The sequence below is a fragment of the Homo sapiens genome, chromosome 5 (genome assembly GCF_000001405.40).
Source record: "Homo sapiens chromosome 5, GRCh38.p14 Primary Assembly".
NCBI lineage: Eukaryota > Metazoa > Chordata > Mammalia > Primates > Hominidae > Homo > Homo sapiens.
Window position 1 is genome coordinate 76,208,330 of NC_000005.10, and position 19,592 is coordinate 76,227,921.

The 19,592-nt window shown below is 41.5% G+C and overlaps 1 protein-coding gene across 5 annotated transcripts in view; it reads left to right on the plus strand.

Moving 5' to 3' along the window:
- SV2C (synaptic vesicle glycoprotein 2C) overlaps nucleotides 1–19,592 on the plus strand; it is a 506,476-nt gene that overhangs the window by 360,866 nt on the left and 126,018 nt on the right. For all 5 annotated transcript variants that reach the window (XM_011543282.4, NM_001297716.2, NM_014979.4 and 2 more), the window contains exon 4: nucleotides 1,407–1,558. In XM_011543282.4, coding sequence (XP_011541584.2) covers nucleotides 1,407–1,558 — 152 coding nt within the window. The remainder of the gene's footprint in view (nucleotides 1–1,406; nucleotides 1,559–19,592) is intronic.

Here is a 19,592-nt window from a genome sequence, read left to right on the forward strand (position 1 = left end):
TCTTTACCGTTTATAGCTACTAAACTAAATTTTGCAACCCATAGATTGAAAAGCACCAGCCTAAGTGGTCTTCCCATGTCCACTGATGCGTAACTATGGCATCACTTTAAACAGAGGCAAATACATGAAATGGTGCCATATTTTCACCTACCAGTTGATGCAGGATGACATTGTAAATCCCGTGGTTTATTTGGTACACTAGTTTGCTGCCAAAATGACCTTTCCCTAAATTGCATTTGTTAAGAACACTGCCAATACTTCTTTATCATATCAAAGGCTCTAAGAAAATCAGTTATTGCTAAATAAATAAACATGCTTTAGTCCTTGACATCAAATTTGCATGAAATGTCAATAGCAATTTACCTTACAGAAATCTGAACAAAAATGAATCAGTGCACACTTCCTAACTCTATTAGATTTTGTGTCATCTCGACAATGTACTTATGTTGTGTGTCTTTTTAAACAAATACTTTAAAATTCACATATTGCTTGGAGTGATAGTAATATTTTTCTTTACTACCTTGCTTTTTGAGGCAGTGGTTCCTAAAGTTTTAGGGCCAAGACCTATTTGAAATTCTGATGAAATCTATGGCCCATCTCCTAAAAATGAGCACTATTTTGATTCCATAAACCCTCATTTGAGCACCCTTACCCTGGGTAGAGGTCACTGTTTCTGTCATCTCCCCAGAGCTCAGTCAGCAGCTTGTATAACTAGCTCCTACTGAAAGGAAGCATTATATTCCATTCTATTGATATCTAAACCACCAGCTCCTTATTTTATTCTACAAGTGTCCCTTTCATGTTTACTTATTTAGCAGTAATATCTACTGGATTGGGACTAGAGCTAATCTTGGAAATGACCCCGTGAGTCATTTCAACTAATGTTTGTCAACACATTAACCTAATTTAGTGCTGCTGTGGGGTAGCAGTGAGTAAATACAGATTGCAGACAGTACCCTAGAGGTGTTTGAAGCTGTTTCCAAAGTCCCCACATCAGGAATGGGACATGGCACAGCATCAGTTTTTAAAAACAAGTTAATTAAAATATTCACTAGATTATAGGAAATCAATGTAAGTTTTGATAAATATCACACAAAACACAACCATGAGCTGAAAAGCCAACGGAATCTCATGTTAAGCTCTATCAACCACCTGAGACAAACACCACTGCCACCTCTTGGTAACATAGCTTAATTGCAGGTTCAACTTTTTGGAGGCATAATAAACCTATATTAAATACAGAGACTATAATTTTTACATTGTAAAATAATAGAAAATATATGTTTGTTGATATGCTGGGATAGGGAGAAAGCATGTGTTGTTAGAGTTTGCTTTGGCTCTGCCCTTTGCGTCTCACATGAGCTGTCCACACCCTGATTTCATGTATTCTCTGTACCTCTTGGCAGGATTGGAGGAGCCATACCCACTGTGTTCTCGTACTTTGCTGAAGTCCTGGCCCGGGAAAAGCGGGGCGAACACTTGAGCTGGCTCTGCATGTTCTGGATGATCGGTGGCATCTACGCCTCTGCCATGGCCTGGGCCATCATCCCGCACTACGGTAAGAGGCTGGCCTTGCCCCAGCTGGGCAGTCACTTCATTTTGCTTCAGGCTCCATTCCCATCTTCTTCCTCTCTTCTAAGGGCCACTTTGAGAAAAACTACTCATCATCATGTTTCTCCCTTTCATAGTGTCCAGGAGTTTTTCCCCTCTGTGTAGAGATCTGTATAAAGTAAGACTGTATCAAATGCCCTTCTGGTTATATGAATGTAATGGGGGGAAAATATTTTCCTCTGCTGTGCTTTCACAAGATTTCTGGTCACCAAAATGTGTGGGGTGTTTTCTCCCACTGACCAATTCTCCAACAGCTGGGTGTGCTACAATTTAACTCAATTCTGACACTATGTTACTTGGGGTTGGAGTCAAATGGCACAGATTAAGGGCTCAGTCCCACAAGACTGCCCCCCATTTCAGAGGCCAATTGTAAGTCCAGGCCTCTGGAACTTCTGACTGACCAGCTATAAATGGGAGGTTCCTATACCCCCCACCCTCAGGTTTGATCATTTGCTAGAATGGCTCACAGAACTCAGGGAAACAACTCTCATTCACCAGTTTATGGCAAAGGATATGGCAAAGGATGTAGATGAACAGCCAGGTGAAGAGAAACACAGGGCAAGGTATGTGGGAAGAGGTGAGGGGCTTTCATGAGTTCTCCGCCTCACCACCATCCCAGTGCCTCCACATGTTCAACAACCCAAAAGCTCTCCAAACTCCATAGTTCAGGGATTTTTATAGAGGTTTCTATAGGCATGATTGATTAGGTATGATTGATTATTAACTCAATCCCCAGCCCCTCTCCCCTTCCTGGAGGATGGGGGTGGAGCTGAAAGCTCCAAGCTTATGATCATGGCTTGGTCTTTCTGGTGACCAGTCCCACTCAGGAGCCCACCAACAGTTGTCTCGTTAGAATAAAAGATGCTCCTATTACCCAGGAAATTCCCAGGAAATAGAAGTGTCAGGAACCATGAATGACGACGAACACATATGTTTCTTATTATAATCACAGCATCATAGTGTACTATTGCATTTTACTGTGTTTAAAGTAATCTCTTTCATTTGTTTCCTCTGTGCTATCAATGCTGGGGATTCCTCTCCCCTCTGCCTCTCCTACCCTAAGTAGAGGTGGGAGGATACACAGATCAGCAGCAGCATATAAGACAACATGACTTATAGTTGTTCTTGGGACTGCCATACATATCAAACACACAGAAGCACCTTTACTCAACTCTTGTGGGCTCAGTCCAAAGCTCAGCTCCACATCAGCCCCACCTCTTCTGGCAACTCAGAACTGGAATGGGAGCAGGAAAACTCCTGTTGTATGGCCTGTTGAACTGCAGAACTTTAGAGGTGACTCCACCTGTCCACACTCCCAGATCCCCTCCTCAGTTTCTCCTAAGCTCTTACTGTTTCTGCTGCCTCAGAAACCTGTACATGTTGCATGTTTCTGAGCAATACCCCTCAGAAGCCAAAAGCTCCAAGTTGCTTCATCTATAAGCAGTGAAATGCATGGAAAGGTCAATTGAATCCAGAAATCAAATTCAATATATCAGGAAAGGGGAGAGAAGTGTTCTGGTTGCGTGTGTGTGTGTGTGTGTGTGTGTGTGTGTGTGTGTACATGCACACACACGTGCACATGTGCCCAAACAGGCTAAAGTTTGCAAAATAGGAATACCGTATAAATTAAAACCACATGACTTCAGAAACTCACTCTCTGCTCTAATCTAAAAAATTAGATTTCAAAAACTCATTCTTTGCTCATTTTTTATTTCTCTGCTTTTGTTTTAGAACATGGTAATATTTCATTATAAAACACAGTTCTGTTAGGGAACAACCTTGGTGAAATTGACTCATTGCTAAAATCAGACATAGACTTTAGTATTTAGATGTCTTTAACTTGTTTTTTTAACTGAGTTTTAACATGCTGAGTTACAAAATCATGTCACACGCTTTCTTTTGATGAACCTGAAAAGTTACATGAAAACTGAAGTCGTATTTAACAACAACAAAAGCAAGATATAAGGAATTGGTTACTTGGCCTGAAGAGAACTTCTTTGCTGAACATTTACATTGAGTTCAGGGTGCCAAGCTCAAGTGGTGGGTTTTTCATTTTTAAACTCTTAGGTCACTTATGGGCCAGAGATGCCCTCATACAGGCAGGTCCCCATATCCACCATGAGACTTGTCTTCTGCCACCATCCAAGGAATTCAAGATTTTTTTTTTTTAATTTGAGATCTCAGGACCTCAGCCACCCTCAGAACCTTCCTCGGTAGAGCAGCATCTAACTCATGCCCCACTCAACTCACTGGTTCAAGTGGAAAAGCCACTCAGGAATTGCTTTATAGGAACTATGTTTAAGAAGGTGAATAGGAAATGCAGAGTCCAGCTTTACCCATCATTGCTCCAGAGCCACTGCTAGTCTATCCATTCATACTCTTTGTGCATATTCAAATAAGGGCTGCTCCAGGTAGGTAGCCAGAAGTGCTGCCCCACTTATCATCTCTGCCAACTACTCACAGAGGGCTCAACCTGGCAAATTTATACAGCAGCTGAAGTGCTTTTTTTTCTCTCTCTCTCTCTTTTTCTTTTTTTTTTTTTAATACCTTCTTAGCCGGCCTTCAGGCCAGCCTTGTTCTCTTTTCAGCCTCTGATGAGAGCCTTGCTCCTTGGCTCTCGCTGAGCTTGCTCTCTGGAGCCCCTTGTCTCCCTGGTTAATGGCTGTCTCTTTCCTGGTCCTCCCTTCCCATCATATCGCTCAGAATTTCACCTGCTGGCCTTCTTAAACACGTAACTCACACTGGCTTCTGCAGCCTACGTGTGTCCGTGTGTCCACCAAGCCCGGGCATGACTGTTTTTATTTTTAGTTTTTTTTCTCACTAGGAATTCAGTTCCTCTGACTCTGCCTTTCACACATCCCTGCCCTTGAACTCTGGATGGTTCCAGATTTTCTCTCCTGCCTTGTCACCGGTCAGTCAGTGGCCAACCCACAAAGAATAAGCATGATCACCACTTTCCTTTTTCCAAAGTACACTTAAGATACTTCTTGTTTATAGCTACAAGGGCTAATTAATTCATATATAACTAGAATGAGGGAAAGTTGGGAATCATAAACAATGCATGAAAAGTTACAAAAAACAATGACGACACAACAAAATTAAATGTCGGAGGCTGACATCAACTTTTATGTTGACAACACCTTGAGAAATAATGACCAGGTTACGAAATGAGTAATGTCAATATGAAAACCTTATGCCCATGCTTTACTAAAGGCTTTCCATGGCCAGAAGTGTGGCAAAAAAAACATATATTTCATTCAATTCTGTCTGCAAATTAAAATTAAAAATGAAAAGCTTTAAAAATAACTTTGCTGAGGTCATTGTTGTACTCTTGCAATTTGAAGAGTTTTAATTTTTGTTTTAAAGTTTAATTTTTAAAATCCTGTGCTGAGGCTTCTGGAGTGCTAATGACATTCTATATCTTGAGCTGGGTGGAGGTTTTTAATGAATTTTTGAATTGTAAAATTTGTTAAACTGAGTGCTTAATATTTGTGCATGTTACTATATGAATGTTACACTTTTTCACAAACACTTTTTAGTAAGTTTACCACCTCCCCCATACCCTGAAAACACTCATGCTTGGATTTACCCCACATCAATCAAATCAGATTCTCTGGACAAGAGACACAGCATTGAGAGTTTTTATTCTTATTTTTTTCAGCTTTATTGAGGTATGACTGACAAGTAAAAATTATATACATTTAATATGTACAACTTGAAGGTTTGATATATGTGTACATTGTGAAATGATTACCACAATCGAGCTAATTAACATCTTTCATGTGTGTATGATGAGAACACTTACTCTCAGCAAGTTTCAAGTATACAGTACAGTACAATATTATTAACTATAGTTACCATGCTGAATATTAGATCTCCAGAACTTATCATCTTATAACCAAAAGTTTGTGCCCTTTGACCAACATCTCCCCCCATCCCTCAATTCCTGGTAACCACTCTTAACTACTCTCTCTTTCTATGAGTTCAACTTTTCAGATTTCACATATCGGTGAGTTTGTGCAATATTTGTCTTTTCATGTCTGGCCTATTTCACTTAACATAATGCCTTCCAGGTTCATTCATGTTGTTACAAAGGGAAGGATTTCTTTCTTTTTAAAGGCTGAACAAAATTCCAATATGTGCATATATGTGTGTGTGTATGTATGTACATAAGTATACACATACAGTTTTAAAGCTTTACTGTTTTTACAGTTTTATAGTTCTGAACTTACATTTAAGTCTTTAATCCATTTTAAGTTGATTTTTATCTGTGGTGCAAAAGGAGGTTCCAATTTCATTCTTTTGCATATGAATATCCAGCTTTCCCAACACCATTTATTGAAGAGACTATCCTTTCCTTATGGGGTACTCTTGGTGCCTTTATCAAAGATCAGTTGACTGTATAAGCATGGGTTTATTTCTGGGCTCTCTATTCTGTTCCGTTGGTCTACATATCTGTGTTTATGCCAGTACTATGCTATTTCAATTACTATAGCTTTGTAATATAATTTGAAATCAGGAAGTCTCCAGCTTTCTTCTTCTTGCTCAAGGTTACTTTAGCTACTCAGGGTCTTTTGTTGTTCCATACAGATTTTAGGATTGTTTCTTCTATTTCTGTGAGAAATAACATTGGAACTTTGATAGGGATTACATTGACTCTGTAGATCTGTTTGAGTAGCATTGACATTTTGACAATATAATTCTTTCAATCCATGAATACAATATATCTTGCCATTTATTTGCCATCTTCCATTTCTTTCATCAGAGTTTTATAGTTTTCAACATACAAATCTTTTACCTTCTGTGTTAAATTTATTCCTAGTTTATTCTTTTTGATGCTATTGTAAGTAGGATTGTTTCAATAATTTCTTTTCCAATACTTCATTATTACTGTGTAGAAACACAACTAATTTTTGTCTCTTGATTTTGTATGCTGTCACGTTGCTGAACTCATGTATTCTAACATTTTTTGGTGACATCTTTAGAATTTTCTATATGTAAGATCATGTCACCTGCAGAAACATACTCTTGTTTTACTTCTTTCTTTCTGATTTTGATTCCCTTTCTTTCTTTTTTTGCCTAATTGCTCTGGCTAGGACTTTCAGTACTATCCTGAATAGAAATGACAAGAGTCTTCCTAGTCTTAGAGGGAAAGCTTTTAGATTTTCACCATCGAGTATGTTAGCTGGGAGCTTGTCATTGATGGCCTTGATTATGTTAAGGTACATCAATAGTTTTTAAAGCTTCTGGGTGGTTCTAATGTGCAGCCAGGTTTGAGATTCTTCAGCTTCCTGTCCATGAAAGGCCCAATGGGTGACCTCAGAAGTTTGTTTTTCTGCTGGGACCCTAGAACTTGATGGTATGTATTGGGTGGGAGTGGGGGGATGTGAATGAGAATAAGGAGAACAGTGAGCCTGATCTGTTCAGTGTTTGAGTTTCCGTATTGTTGGTTTCATCCACGCAAAAACACTTTCCTGTCCATCTGGTTTAGAATCACACTTAAAAAGTAACTTTGACATCTAGATATCTCTTCTTTTCAGTGATGCATCTTTTAACTTTACCTAAAATAGACAAGGGGCTAAAAGTCTATCCACTTTCCCTGAAGCCTCTGAAAAAACTAAAGGCTTATATCTCTCCTCTGAAATCTGCGTTGTATAAATGATGCCACAGTCCACAGAAACAAGAGCGGGTCCGCCCCTGCTGCTCTGTCCTCTTTCACTGAGGAGGCCTTTGAGTGCCCACCACTCCCTGTGCATTGAGTTTGCACCCTGCAGAGAATGAACACAGGAGTGTAATAAAGTGACTCAGAGCCAGGACCTCAGCCTTCTCATATTAGTAATGGGCTTTGCTCTGGAGAGAAGGAATGGATAATTGGCATCCACATTGCAAGTGTATTTCAAATGATAAATAACACAGAGGCTCGTGGACAAAGGTGTTCGCTGTTTCTGGGTGTCGCCGTTTAGTAATTAGGGCAGAGCAGTCAGTTCACAAAGCCTGAGCCTGATGCTGTGAGACTGGAATTCTGGCCCCTGACAAGCCTCTGATGCAAAGTAGACCTTGAGTGGGTCACTAAGGATTCTGGAAGGAAATCTGGAAGGATTCTTGTGAAGTTAGACACTGGAATAAGGGATTGGATTGCTCTAAGGGCTAGTGAGTTAAGACATGGGCTGTGGCCAGGAGTTTTTGGTGGACAGTGGAGTCCACTCAGCCTGCTGAGACCTAGCTTTTGTACCAGTGTGGAATAATGATGGTGCTTTCTCTTCATATCACTGCTATCAGAGTTGAAATTTTCCCCGGAGACAGATGGTTGCTAACATCTGAAGGTTCCCAACATGAATGGACCTCACCCAATGCTGACAAGACCTTAGGAGGCAGAGTGCTTGGCTGTGGTCACACCAGCACCTTCCCTGCCACCACTCCATTCAGGAACTTCTGGGCCATCTGTGTCTCCCCCATGGCAAAGAGCAGTCCACTAGAACAAGGGAGGAGGAAGAGCAACAAACTGAGAAGGAAATGCCCTTGCCTCAAAAATCAGTGCCTGTAAGAGCTGAAAATAGGTATTTAGAGTTGGCTTGGCCGGGTGCAGTGCCTCACACCTGTAAACCCAGTGCTTTGGGAGGCTGAGGCAGGAGAATTGCCTAAAGCCAGGAGTTCGAGAAAATTTGGCTCTTCTTGACCTAACACCCGTTCTCAAGCCTAGGCCTTCTGACCCATAGTGGGAATTGGCTACTGGTTCAGAAATAAATAAGCAGTATCTTCAAGAACAGATAGGTCAGGTGTAAAGGTTCTCTTTCAGCCTTCCTGCCCTTCCTTTCTCTCTCCACACTCTGTAATAATCAGGACACATCAGCATTTAATGGAAGCCCCAGTACCTCAGGGGAAATGGGAACAGAGAGCTGAATCACAGGCACTTTCTATGTTGGCTGAGAGCTTTCATTAGGCCCAGGCTTTGGAATTGCTGCTAGACTGCGGCACTGTCCGCTCCATTAAACCCTCTGTCATCATTTTCCCTTTTAAATTCATGTGCGCATCAGATGAGGTGTTCTCCCCTGCTGTGTGCATTACAGTGTGTAGCAAAGGTGTTCAATTAGCTAAATGGGAAAGTTCTTGTTTTAGCCCGAAAGGCCACAGCTCTGAAAGCCCACAGCACACTGGGCCTCATCTAGCCCCCAGAATAGCCCCATGGCCTCTATCTGGCTAGCCCTGCACTGCAGATGTTATAGGGTCAAACTTGGGGCTCCCATAAACGTCAGACTTACCCCACCCTACGTCTCCAGCCATGATGCGATGTCCAGGCTTAAAAATACATATATTCCCAAGGTTGTCCAAATTACCAAAACATCCCTACTTCCTTTGGCTGGCAGGAGAGGCAATAGCTATCTAATTGAAGAAGGAAGCAGGGAAGGATTCCTGATTCCTCAACCAGACAGATATTCAACAAGAAGGAAGAAGAAAGTCAGCTTCCTTGTTCACAAGAAGGAATGCACTGTGGCCAAGGGAAAGAGGTATAAAGTGAGAGGTATTTTGAGTCTCAGACCTGCTACTTCTGTGAGCTCTGTCAAAGCTTTTCAGTCTGATCCAGCCCACTCTCCTAGTCAGCATTGTAGTAAGGATTAAGCAAAATAATCTCGTTAGAATACCCAGTGTGTATTTGATGCTCAAAAATGGTAGCTCTTGTTGCTATCAGGTCATCCTACATGGGATACCCAGATTGCCAGAGCAGCCCAAATGTGAGCTACATGAAAAAAGAGGGAGAAGGAACTAAAAAGCATAAACCCTGCCTAAAGTTTGAGATTAGAGAAGTCAGAGAAAAGAAAAAAAAAAGGATAGAAGCTAAGATAAAAGAGAACCAAGGTATTAAAACAATACTGTAAAATCTTGATGACTTTTTACCCAATAAATCAGAATCCTCCATTTTTCTGTTGGGTAATTTAATATTCAAGGGGCATGTACTATATAAAGACCCATTTTCAAGGCCATGGTGCTATCGTTCCCAGATAGAAATAACGAGAGTCTGACAACTCTAACCTGTGAGCATCAACTACCAGCTGATTCTGCGGGTTATATGGGCAGCACCAGAGCCAAGCTCTATCGCAGCACCAAGATGTCAGAGATCCTGGAGACAGGCAGTCAGTGCAATTGTTAACAGCATGGGCTTAGAGGGAAGGCCCTACTTCCAAGCCACCTCTGCCCTCTCTAGCTTTGTCATCTTTAGGACAGTAACCTAGGCTCTCTGGTCCTCTGTTTCCTCATCTATAAAACAGGGATAATAATAGTATGACCTAATACAATTGCTGTACGATCACATTACTGGGTATATACCCAAAGGATTATAAATCATTCTACCATAAAGACACATGCACATGTATGTTTATTGCAGCACTATTTATAATAGCAAAGACTTGGAACACACCCAAATGCCCATCAATGGTAGACTAGATAAAGAAAATGTGGCATATATACAACATGGAATACTATGCAGCCATAAAAAATAATGAGCTCATGTCCTTTGCAGGGGCATGGATGAAGCTAGAAACCATCATTCTCAGCATACTAACACAGGAACAGAAAACCAAATACCACATGTTCTCACTCATAAGTGGGAGTTGAACAATGAGAACACATGGACACAGGGAGGGGAACATCATACACCAAGGCCTGTTGGTTGAGGGAGGCAAGGGGAGGGAGAGCATTAGGACCTAATGCATGTGGGGCTTTAAACCTAGATGATGGGTTGATAGGTGCAGCAAATCACCATGGCATATGTATAACTATATAACAAACCTGTACATTCCACACACATATCCCAGAACTCAAAGTAAAATAAAATAAAATAATACAATTGCTGTATTAAAGGATGGCATACAAAAAGTGCCTGACACAGTGCCTGGCACAAATGTTCATTAAGTGTAGTCTCGTATTTTCATATTTGGGACTGAAGTTTGGGTCAGGGAGGAAGAATTAAAAAGAGGAATATTTAAAAGATTGTATTTACCTTTTCCTAACCATGTTTTCTCAATGGTTCACCTGTCATTTGAAGTTGTGGAGATGGATAAGAAAGATTAGAAGTACAGGAACAGAACTTGTAAGGCATGCCAAAGTGTCCTGTGCCCACTACTCTAGGGTGTCAGGGCAGGCCTCACATGATAACTGGGGTTCCTCTCAGCAGCCCAGCCAGGACAGGCAGGTGACAGGTGGCCCAGAGCCCTGTCCTCTCATCCTTGCCATATTTCACTGAGTGTTACAGCCCTGATGATTTTATGCTCAAGAGGCAGAGTAAGACGTGACAGAGGGAAGTGATTTGGTACATTGACTTATACCAGTATTATTTCTTAATTTGTTAATTTAATTTGTTAATTTTACGATCAATCTTATATTTTATCTCAACGAAAGAACCCTTGGCTTCCGATTTCCTTCAGTGATGGTTCACTTTTCCCCATGCAATAATAAGATGCATCAGTCAAATAAACATTGATGATATAGTCTTTAAGGGCTTAAAAAGTAGATGTGAAATTTTAAAAAAATTATCATGTGTTTAAGTGCATGGCCATTTCTTTGAATGCATCTGTTTCATTGTTCATGGCACCCAGAAGCAAGTGTTTGGAAAGTCTCACGTGCTGAAACATGGCCACAAGCCAGGTCTCCCAGCCCAGCCTCTTGTCTCTCTCCCCATCCTCTTTGTTTAGTAGGGGTAATATGGAGCCTGTAGGGAAGGCATCTATCAGCTAGGATGCAGATCGTCCCCACAGACCCAAAAGACGTCTATTTACTTTCTTGAGAGATTGAGAGTTCTGGCCAGATCTGGGAAACACTTTTCAACATTCTCACGCTGACCTTTGAGGTATGTATAGTGAACTCAGAGGAGCTGCCTCCCCTACTGTGAATTAAGCCAATTATTGTGGAATTGAAGTCTGAACTCTTCCATTCAAGCTCACCAGAAAAGGAAGTGATGTCAGGCATTTACTGAGAGCTTTCTGTGTCCCAGGCATTGTACCAGGTAGGTTATCTTAGGCACCTGATCTTAAAATGGGGAAATGGGCTTTAAAATATGGCGATTTCCTGCTCTGGTGCTCATGTGAAGAACTGCATGTTCCTATGCTGATAGCACTGCAGGTGACCCTGTCAACCCGGGGTTTGTGACCATATGTCCCTCTGGTAAGTGGGTGAAGCCCACAGACCTCTTCCCAAAATAATGTTTTTATATACATAAAGCGAAATAAATAGGATTATAAATGAAATCAATTGTTTCAAAATAGTATTATCAAAATATATTAGCATACTAAGTAACAACATCTAGTGACAGGGCTAGTAGCTACCACAATTTTGAAGTAGATACAAGTGTAGAAGCTGGAAATCAACTGGTGCATTCTTCTCAATCCTAGGAAACCACTGGACCCCAGATTCTCTCCAGAATCCATTTCTTCACTTTAGTTAAAAATTAGAATTGACAGCCGGGTGCAGTGGCTCATGCCTGTAATCCCAGCACTTTGGGAGGCCAAGGTGGGTGGATCACTTGAGCTCAGGAGTTCGAGGCCAGCCTGGGCAACATGGCAAAACCCCATCTCTACTAAAAATACAAAAATTAGCTGGGCATGGTGTCAGGTGCCTATAATTCCAGCTACTTGTGAGGCCAAGGCACCAGAATTGCTTGAACTTCCCGGGAAGGGACACTGTCTTAAAAAAAAAAAAAAAAAAAGAATTGACTAGATAGAAAGGAAAAGCCAAATTAACAAAGGTATAAGCAAGATATAAGTTTGTTTTATATCACATGAAAGCAGTCTGGATAGAGGCAGTCCGGGGCTGGTGTAGTAGCTCAGCGGTCATCATCAAAGGCCCCAATTCCTTTTTTCTTACTGCTCCTCCATTCGTAGCATGTTCCAACTGTAGGGTTGGAATTCTAGGCAGCACAAAGTGGGAAGGATTCATAAGGATATGTCTGTACTCCCAGAAAGAATCTTCCTGGAAGTCCCACACAAATCCACTTGAATCTCATTGGCCAGAATTTCAAGACAAAGAAAGTCTTGGAAATGTAGAGTAGCTGTTTATTCCCGGCAGCAGGGAGAATACAAATCAGTGTAGAGTGGACACAGGGAGGCAACTGGCCATCTCTGCTGCACCATTTCATTCTTACTCTGGAAAATCTTTTAGGAATGTTCCTGCATTTGATAATCTAATGTTTAAGTGTGGCCCTTCCATCCATTTTTGGATGCCAGAAACAGAAAGCAACTCTGGCTAACTCAACAGGAATTTCTTGAAAGGCTATTGGATAGCTCAGGGAATGGTCAGGAAGGCTGGAGAAACAGGCTCAGAAAACAGCAGAAGACAAAGGAATCCTTCCTTAGATGGCTTACATGGCCTTTCAGCAAACTCAAAATTTCAGCACTCAGACCCAAAGAAAACACTTACAGTTTAACAAAAATTGGCCCAAATTACACAACTTCAGTTTTAGTGCCCCAAGGGGCTTTTAATATTGTTAGATTTTCTTCCAAAGTCATGGGGAGTCGCTGTCTTTGCAAGATGCAATCCTTAGGGGTGCCGCCTGCTGTTAGTAAATCATAATTACCCAAGCATGACGTTGTGGACAAGTCACCCCAGTGCCCTCATTCAGATAAGTGCTGAGTACACACTAATGTGTGTTAGGAGGAGAATCTGGGCCCATTTGAAGGTAGGCATAGTTTGGGCTGCTGTGGCCTTTCTATTTGGTTTCAGAGAATGTAGATACAGGGGTCTCGAGACCCTCAAGCCAGTGTGACTCCTCTTTAGCATTTCAGAGTGGATTAGACTTCCCTGGTACTCAGATCACAGTTGGCTAGATCCTGGGTCTTCCCCAAACCAAATGTGAATCTGAGCCTTACCAGCAGACTAGATCCCCCTCAAATCCTGGAGACCTTGACATACAGAAGAGACAAAGGCACCCATACCTATGGTAAATAAAAGTAGTAACATTGGTTTTACTTATTGTAGATATAGATGCCTACTCCATGAGCTGTTGATGTTGGGGTTTGTCCTGAAAACAAATTGTGAATAAATCGTGAATACATTTTATAGTATTAAAAAATTAGTATAAAAAATTAATGGCAATATCAAATGCTGGAAAGGATACAGAGAAACAGCATCTCTCATGCATTGCTTGTGGAAATGAAAGATAGTTATGGACACTCTGGAAAGTGGTTTGACAGTTTCTTTAAAAACCAAACATACACCTAACATATCACTCCTGGGTGTTTATCCCAGAGAAATAAAAACTTGTATCCACACAAAAGCGTATGCATGGTTATCCATACAACTTTATTTGTAACACCCAAAAGCTGAAAATAACCAAAATGTCCTGCAATACTATAAAATGCTACTCAGCAATAGGAAAGAAGTGATTGCTATAACAGCATGTATGGACCTCAACAGCATTTTGCAGAGTGAAAAGGCCAATCTCAAAAGGCATTTATGTAACATTCTAGAAATGACAAATATAGAGGTGGGAGAACATGTTAATTATTGGCAGAGGTTTGGGATGATTGGGGGGTGGGGGGTGTATGACTATAAAGGAGTTGCATCTGGGAGAACTTTGCGTTGACGTCATAGTTGAGTGTCTTGGTTTTCAATATGGTTATGTGAATCTACACATGTGATAAAATAAAACAGAACTATATACACACATTGCACTAATGTCAGTTCCATGCTTTCGATGTTGTCTATAGTTATGTAAGATTAACCATTGAGGGAAACTGGATGAAGTGTACATGGGATCTCTCTGTACTATCTTTGCAATCTTCTGTGAATCTATAATTAATTCAAAATAAAAAGTAGAAAACAAATGAGTAATACCTTTCAAGAGGGCAGTCTTACATATATTATCTATTTATTCTAACAATTTTGGGGGGAAAAACAACAGTAACTATTACTACCCTTTTTTGAATAGAGATCCTGTTGCATAGAAATTTGGTCATTCCCCAGATTGACACAGATAATGGAAGATTAGACATTAGAAGCAATCATTTGATCCTTGTTTCTTCAAAATGTTCTCTGTACATGAAGAAGCTAAGAAACTTCTCCAGAGAGCAACACAGAGTTGGAATGGTGTCTGGGGTATTTCAACTGCCTCTACAGTGTGCATGTGTGGCCCAGATGCCAGCTACCCCTTGTCTGTCCAGGCGATGCTCTCACAGCCCCTTGCCAAGCATTCAGAGACCTAAGCCTTCATCATTTGCCATGAGAAAAACCAGTTGCATGCAGAATTTTTTGTTGTTTTAAAAATTATCTTAGGCTGAGGTGGGAGGATTGCTTGAGGCCAGGAGTTGGAGACCAGCCTGGGCAACATATATTCTATAAAAATTTTAAAAATTAGCTGGGCATGGTGGCACACACCTGTGCTCCTAGCTATTTGGGAAGCTGAAGCTGGAGGATTGCTTGAGCCTAGGAGTTTGAGGTTACAATGAGTCATGGTCAGGCCACTGCACTCCAGCCTGGGTGACAGAGCAAGACCCTGTCTCTTTATATACATACATACATATATATATATATATATATATATATATATATATATATATATATATATATATGTATATGTATATAAAGATTTCATAAGAGACTGAAGAGGTTTTTTACATCACATGCTTTATAACCCACATTTGATAAATCCTGATTTGATACTTGTGTTTCCCTCAAAGACAACATAACTTCTCTCTTCTCCTCCCAACACAGCATGCAACTTCTCTAGCTCCTCTCTTCCTCCAGGAATCAACTCCACTGTCACCCCCAACCCCTTATTACTCAGAGAAATCAAGCTCTTCCAGCTTCTGGCTCCAAACTTGCATACCTGTCTTAATCTGCTCAGGCTGCCATAACAAGATACCACAGACTGGGTGGCTTAAACAGCAGAAATTTATTTCTCACAGTTCTGGATGCTTGAAGTTCAAGATTAACATGTCGGCTGAGTTGGCTTCTGGCCACCTTCTTGCTGTGTCTGTACGTGGTGGGGATGGGGAAGTGGTGGGGGGATGGGCATCTCTCTCTTCTGTTTTTATAAGGCCACAGTCCTGTCAGACTAGGGTCCCACCCTTATGAGCTCATTTAACCTTAATTACCTCCCAAAGACCCTATCACTTTCAGGCATATTGGGGGTTAGAGCTTCCACAATGAATCTGAGAGACATAATTCAGTCCATAAAACCACCCATTATGATCTTAGCAAACAAAGGGCCCTCTAGCTACTAGAAGGGCTCCACCCTTTGAAGGCACTGGGATTTTTTGGGGGTTTTTTTCCTGCTGTTTTATTGTTAGCTACCTACTGCAAACCTAACTTGAAACACGGATATCTTTTCTCTCTAAAATAAGGTCTTGTGCTATCATTATGATTCCATAAGAACGCCCCATCTCATTTTCCTGCACATTTTTATATTCTGCACTAGACAAAATATGTATGTGTGTGTATGTGTGTATTTCTTTGAAAATAACTGTTCTGAAAATACCCTTGCTGGGCTGAATTTATCATTAACCTAATTAGATCCTTTATCAAAGGCTTACAATTAACACCATTAGCAAGTCTTAGTAACTCACCGCTGTGTTTCTAAATTAACTTTCACCTGTAGGGACATAAAAATCGCCATCATTTTCTAAAATATTCCTTGTTTGAGTGTTGTAATTGTTCCCCAGATTTCCATGAATAATATTAAGTGACTTACAGGACAAGAGATACTTACAATTTTGTGGAAAGGGAGAGAATGCTTCCCTCATATCTTAGGGTACAAGTTGAATAACCTCAAAATCCTTTTTCTTCCATATCTAGAGTGGGGTCCCCAGAAGGAGTACTCCCTTAATTTGCCCAGGTTGTTAAGGTAAAAAATTGTAGAGCTACCCATCTGTTCTTCACAAGCACAGTATTCTTTCATTTGCAAGGACTAAGCCAAACTTTATTTTTTTACATAACCTACCATCAGAGGCATTGATGTTAAATTACCTACCAGTTCCCTATTCTCTTATGGGCTGATTTTGTGTTTCTATTTTATTCAGCTGTCTCTGTCAAAATCAAGTTTATATTTGCCCTGAGTTGCTTTGAGAAGGTCTCAAGAGAATCCAAGGGGACACTGGGTATGGCATCTTAGCCAGTGTGGCCATTCAGCACCACTGGGCCACACTGATGTTTCCTATGTGACTAATTTCCTGAGATTTACAATCAACTGCCTAGAGTAGAGCATTAGAAAAATAGATTGCTAAATACGACAGAGTGTGATGTTGAAAGCTTGACAGGGAATCTAATTATGCAGTGAAGTAATTCCTAGGGATCCTTCTCAATGATGGAAGGGGCTTCTTCTTTGGGAGGTTTCTGATCTTTTATGTAACACTGAGGCATGCTTCCACTTGAGGATAAATTAAATTGCATGATCCACTTCTTCCTCATTCCCATGCTCAGCCCTCAAGGAGCTCTTCAGCTGTGCTGTCTGTCACACCATGGAATGTATAAGACAAAAGGGAGTTACTTGGGGCTTGGACAGGATACTTGCAAAGAGGTTGGAAAACAATGAGCCTGAGAACTGGGTGGCAGGAGATGGCAGTGGTCAGCCTTGAGATCTGGTGAAATCAAAGGAGGCAGACTGTGATGAAAGGAAACAGTATGGGTTAGAACAGAGTGAAGTGGTTACTGTAGATCTTAATCAAACAAAAAAAATTGCTCTTGTGTAATCTAGTGGTAGCCGAAGAGATGAGCCATTTAAGCCATTTATGTATTCCGTGCCCAGTCTTTCCAATGATTAGTAGCACATCTTAATGAGATAACCAGCATGGGTTAGGCAACTGGTTGAGGGCCATGGAGCAAATATATTTTCTCTGTCTAAAGTATCCAACAAAGAAGTGGATTCAATGGCTTTGCCTCCATTACAGCTAAACAAACTGGGATTGAGCCTTCATTTAAATTACTTGATGAGAGTATAACACTACATTTTGGGTTTGGCAAATGCTCATTGGGCATCCGTCTGTGCCTGGCCCCATGCTGGAAGCCAGAGGTGCTTCTAGGCTAAGGTTGGACTGCGAAGAAATCTCTGGTCTGGGGTAAGAGCAAAGAGTCCTGAAGATGAAAATCCTTGCTTCTCATCTTGCCTGTTTCAGCTTATGAGTTCAACGAACCGCTTCCTCAAATACTCTAATGGATCTGGGAGTTCAGCCTTGCTGGGGCCACTTTGAATTCCACTCTGTTCTTTAACCTACACTGGTCTTCCTAGTTAGGTGGAGGGTATACATTAGCCTGAGCAGTTAGGTGGATGGCTGGGGAGCAGTGGGGCAGAAGGAAAATGAGTTGGGAAGAGTCCCAGGGGTCTTGGCTTGACAATTTAAGACTGAGATGGGCAACTTAAATATCCTAGGAACCAAGCAGGTGGCATGAATAAATGAAGCTGGCAGAAAAGGGAACAGAAGCAAATGAGAAAGCCCACACCCTCTATAGAGGATTAGCAGCTACTGAGCTGCAGCAGATTCCAGCCATACAGATATTAAAGCCCAGTTTGGCCAGATCTGATTTCCAAAAAAAAGGCAAAATTCTGGATATTTATATGAAATCTCTCCCATTTTTAATGGTCTAATTCTTATGTATTCTTATAGAGATACAATTTACACATGTGGTAAGTAGAATAATGGTCTCCCAAAGATGTCCATTTGGTAAGTACATGTTTAGCTTGATGAGAAACTACTAAACTATTTCTAAAGTCACTTTCCCATAATCCTCCAATGTTTAAATGTTGGCAGCTAATTCAGGAAGTTTCAAAGCAAGGTATAGGCCTAACAGAACACACGTGCAGGTCAGATGTCAGATGTGTCCCAATGTTAAGGAGAGCTGCACTGGCCAGGAGAGGAAGACACGGGTGATGGGCCTGTGCTGATGGAGAAAGATGTGTCTCTCTGGGAGCCTGAATAGGGGAAGATTCTCAGAATTAGGAGAAAGGCAGGTGGGATGCCCATGATCACTGGCTGTGTCTGGCAAGCAGTTGTGTCCTTAAACCAAAGGAAGTTAAGCGGGCCCCACAGGAAAAGAGTTCCAGGGACCAGAGAGAGAAAGAGCTTGGTTTCAGACAGAGATTGGAAGTGATGACAGAAAGGGCCTGCTCAAGGAAAGGAAGGACCTCAGGGGCCTTCCGGGAGGGATGGAAAGACACCAAACATCTGATTGGCAGGCGATGACACCTTACATGAGAAGTACCCTTGGTGATTTGTGAAGATTTTCAGAAACATTATCTCATGATGCAGATAAGATAAAAGCCAAACTGCATGACGGCCTGTACTGCACAGGGGCTGGCCAGGCAGAAGACCCCATAGTGAACAAGCAGCTGGGCCAGCTCCTTGCAGGAGCACCTTCCCTCTGCCATATGTGGTCTGTGCTCGAGGATACTCCAAGCCAGGGTATGGTTTCTGTCTTGTAGTGGACCGAGGGTGGGGTTCCACAAACATAGAGAAAGAAAAGCTGTAGAAGGGGCATTTCCCCCCTGTCTGGCTCAAAGGGGGTTCTGGAGGCACCAGTAACCCAGTGCCTTCCTAGGGCATCCTACCACCCTCTCCTTGTGCCTGATACACATCTCTATCTTACAGAATTGTCTTTATAATTGCAATAAAATAATAAATATGTTTCTTCAGAACTCTAGGCAATTTCTGGACTCTTTGAGGCCAGAGCTGAAGTCTTAGTTATCTTTATAACCTCCGTGGCACTGAACACAATGCATGAGCCAGATAAGCCCACGGTGAGTGTTTTGCTGACTTGAGTCACAGAGCCCTGTAATAAACAGGCTACTCAGGGGTGTCAGTCCCCTCCACACATCTGGTTGAGACAGTTCCATCTAGTTCTGATCAGTTTTATTAAATAAGCTTGTGCTGTGGGGCTGTTTTTTCCTTTGTGAACTGCCATTTCCAGAATGGGTTACCACGCTGGTGGTGGCCCTAGCTGATGGGCTTGAAGGGGAGGCATTCATCTTGTCCCATCGCGGCTCACTTAGCTGAGACCTCTGC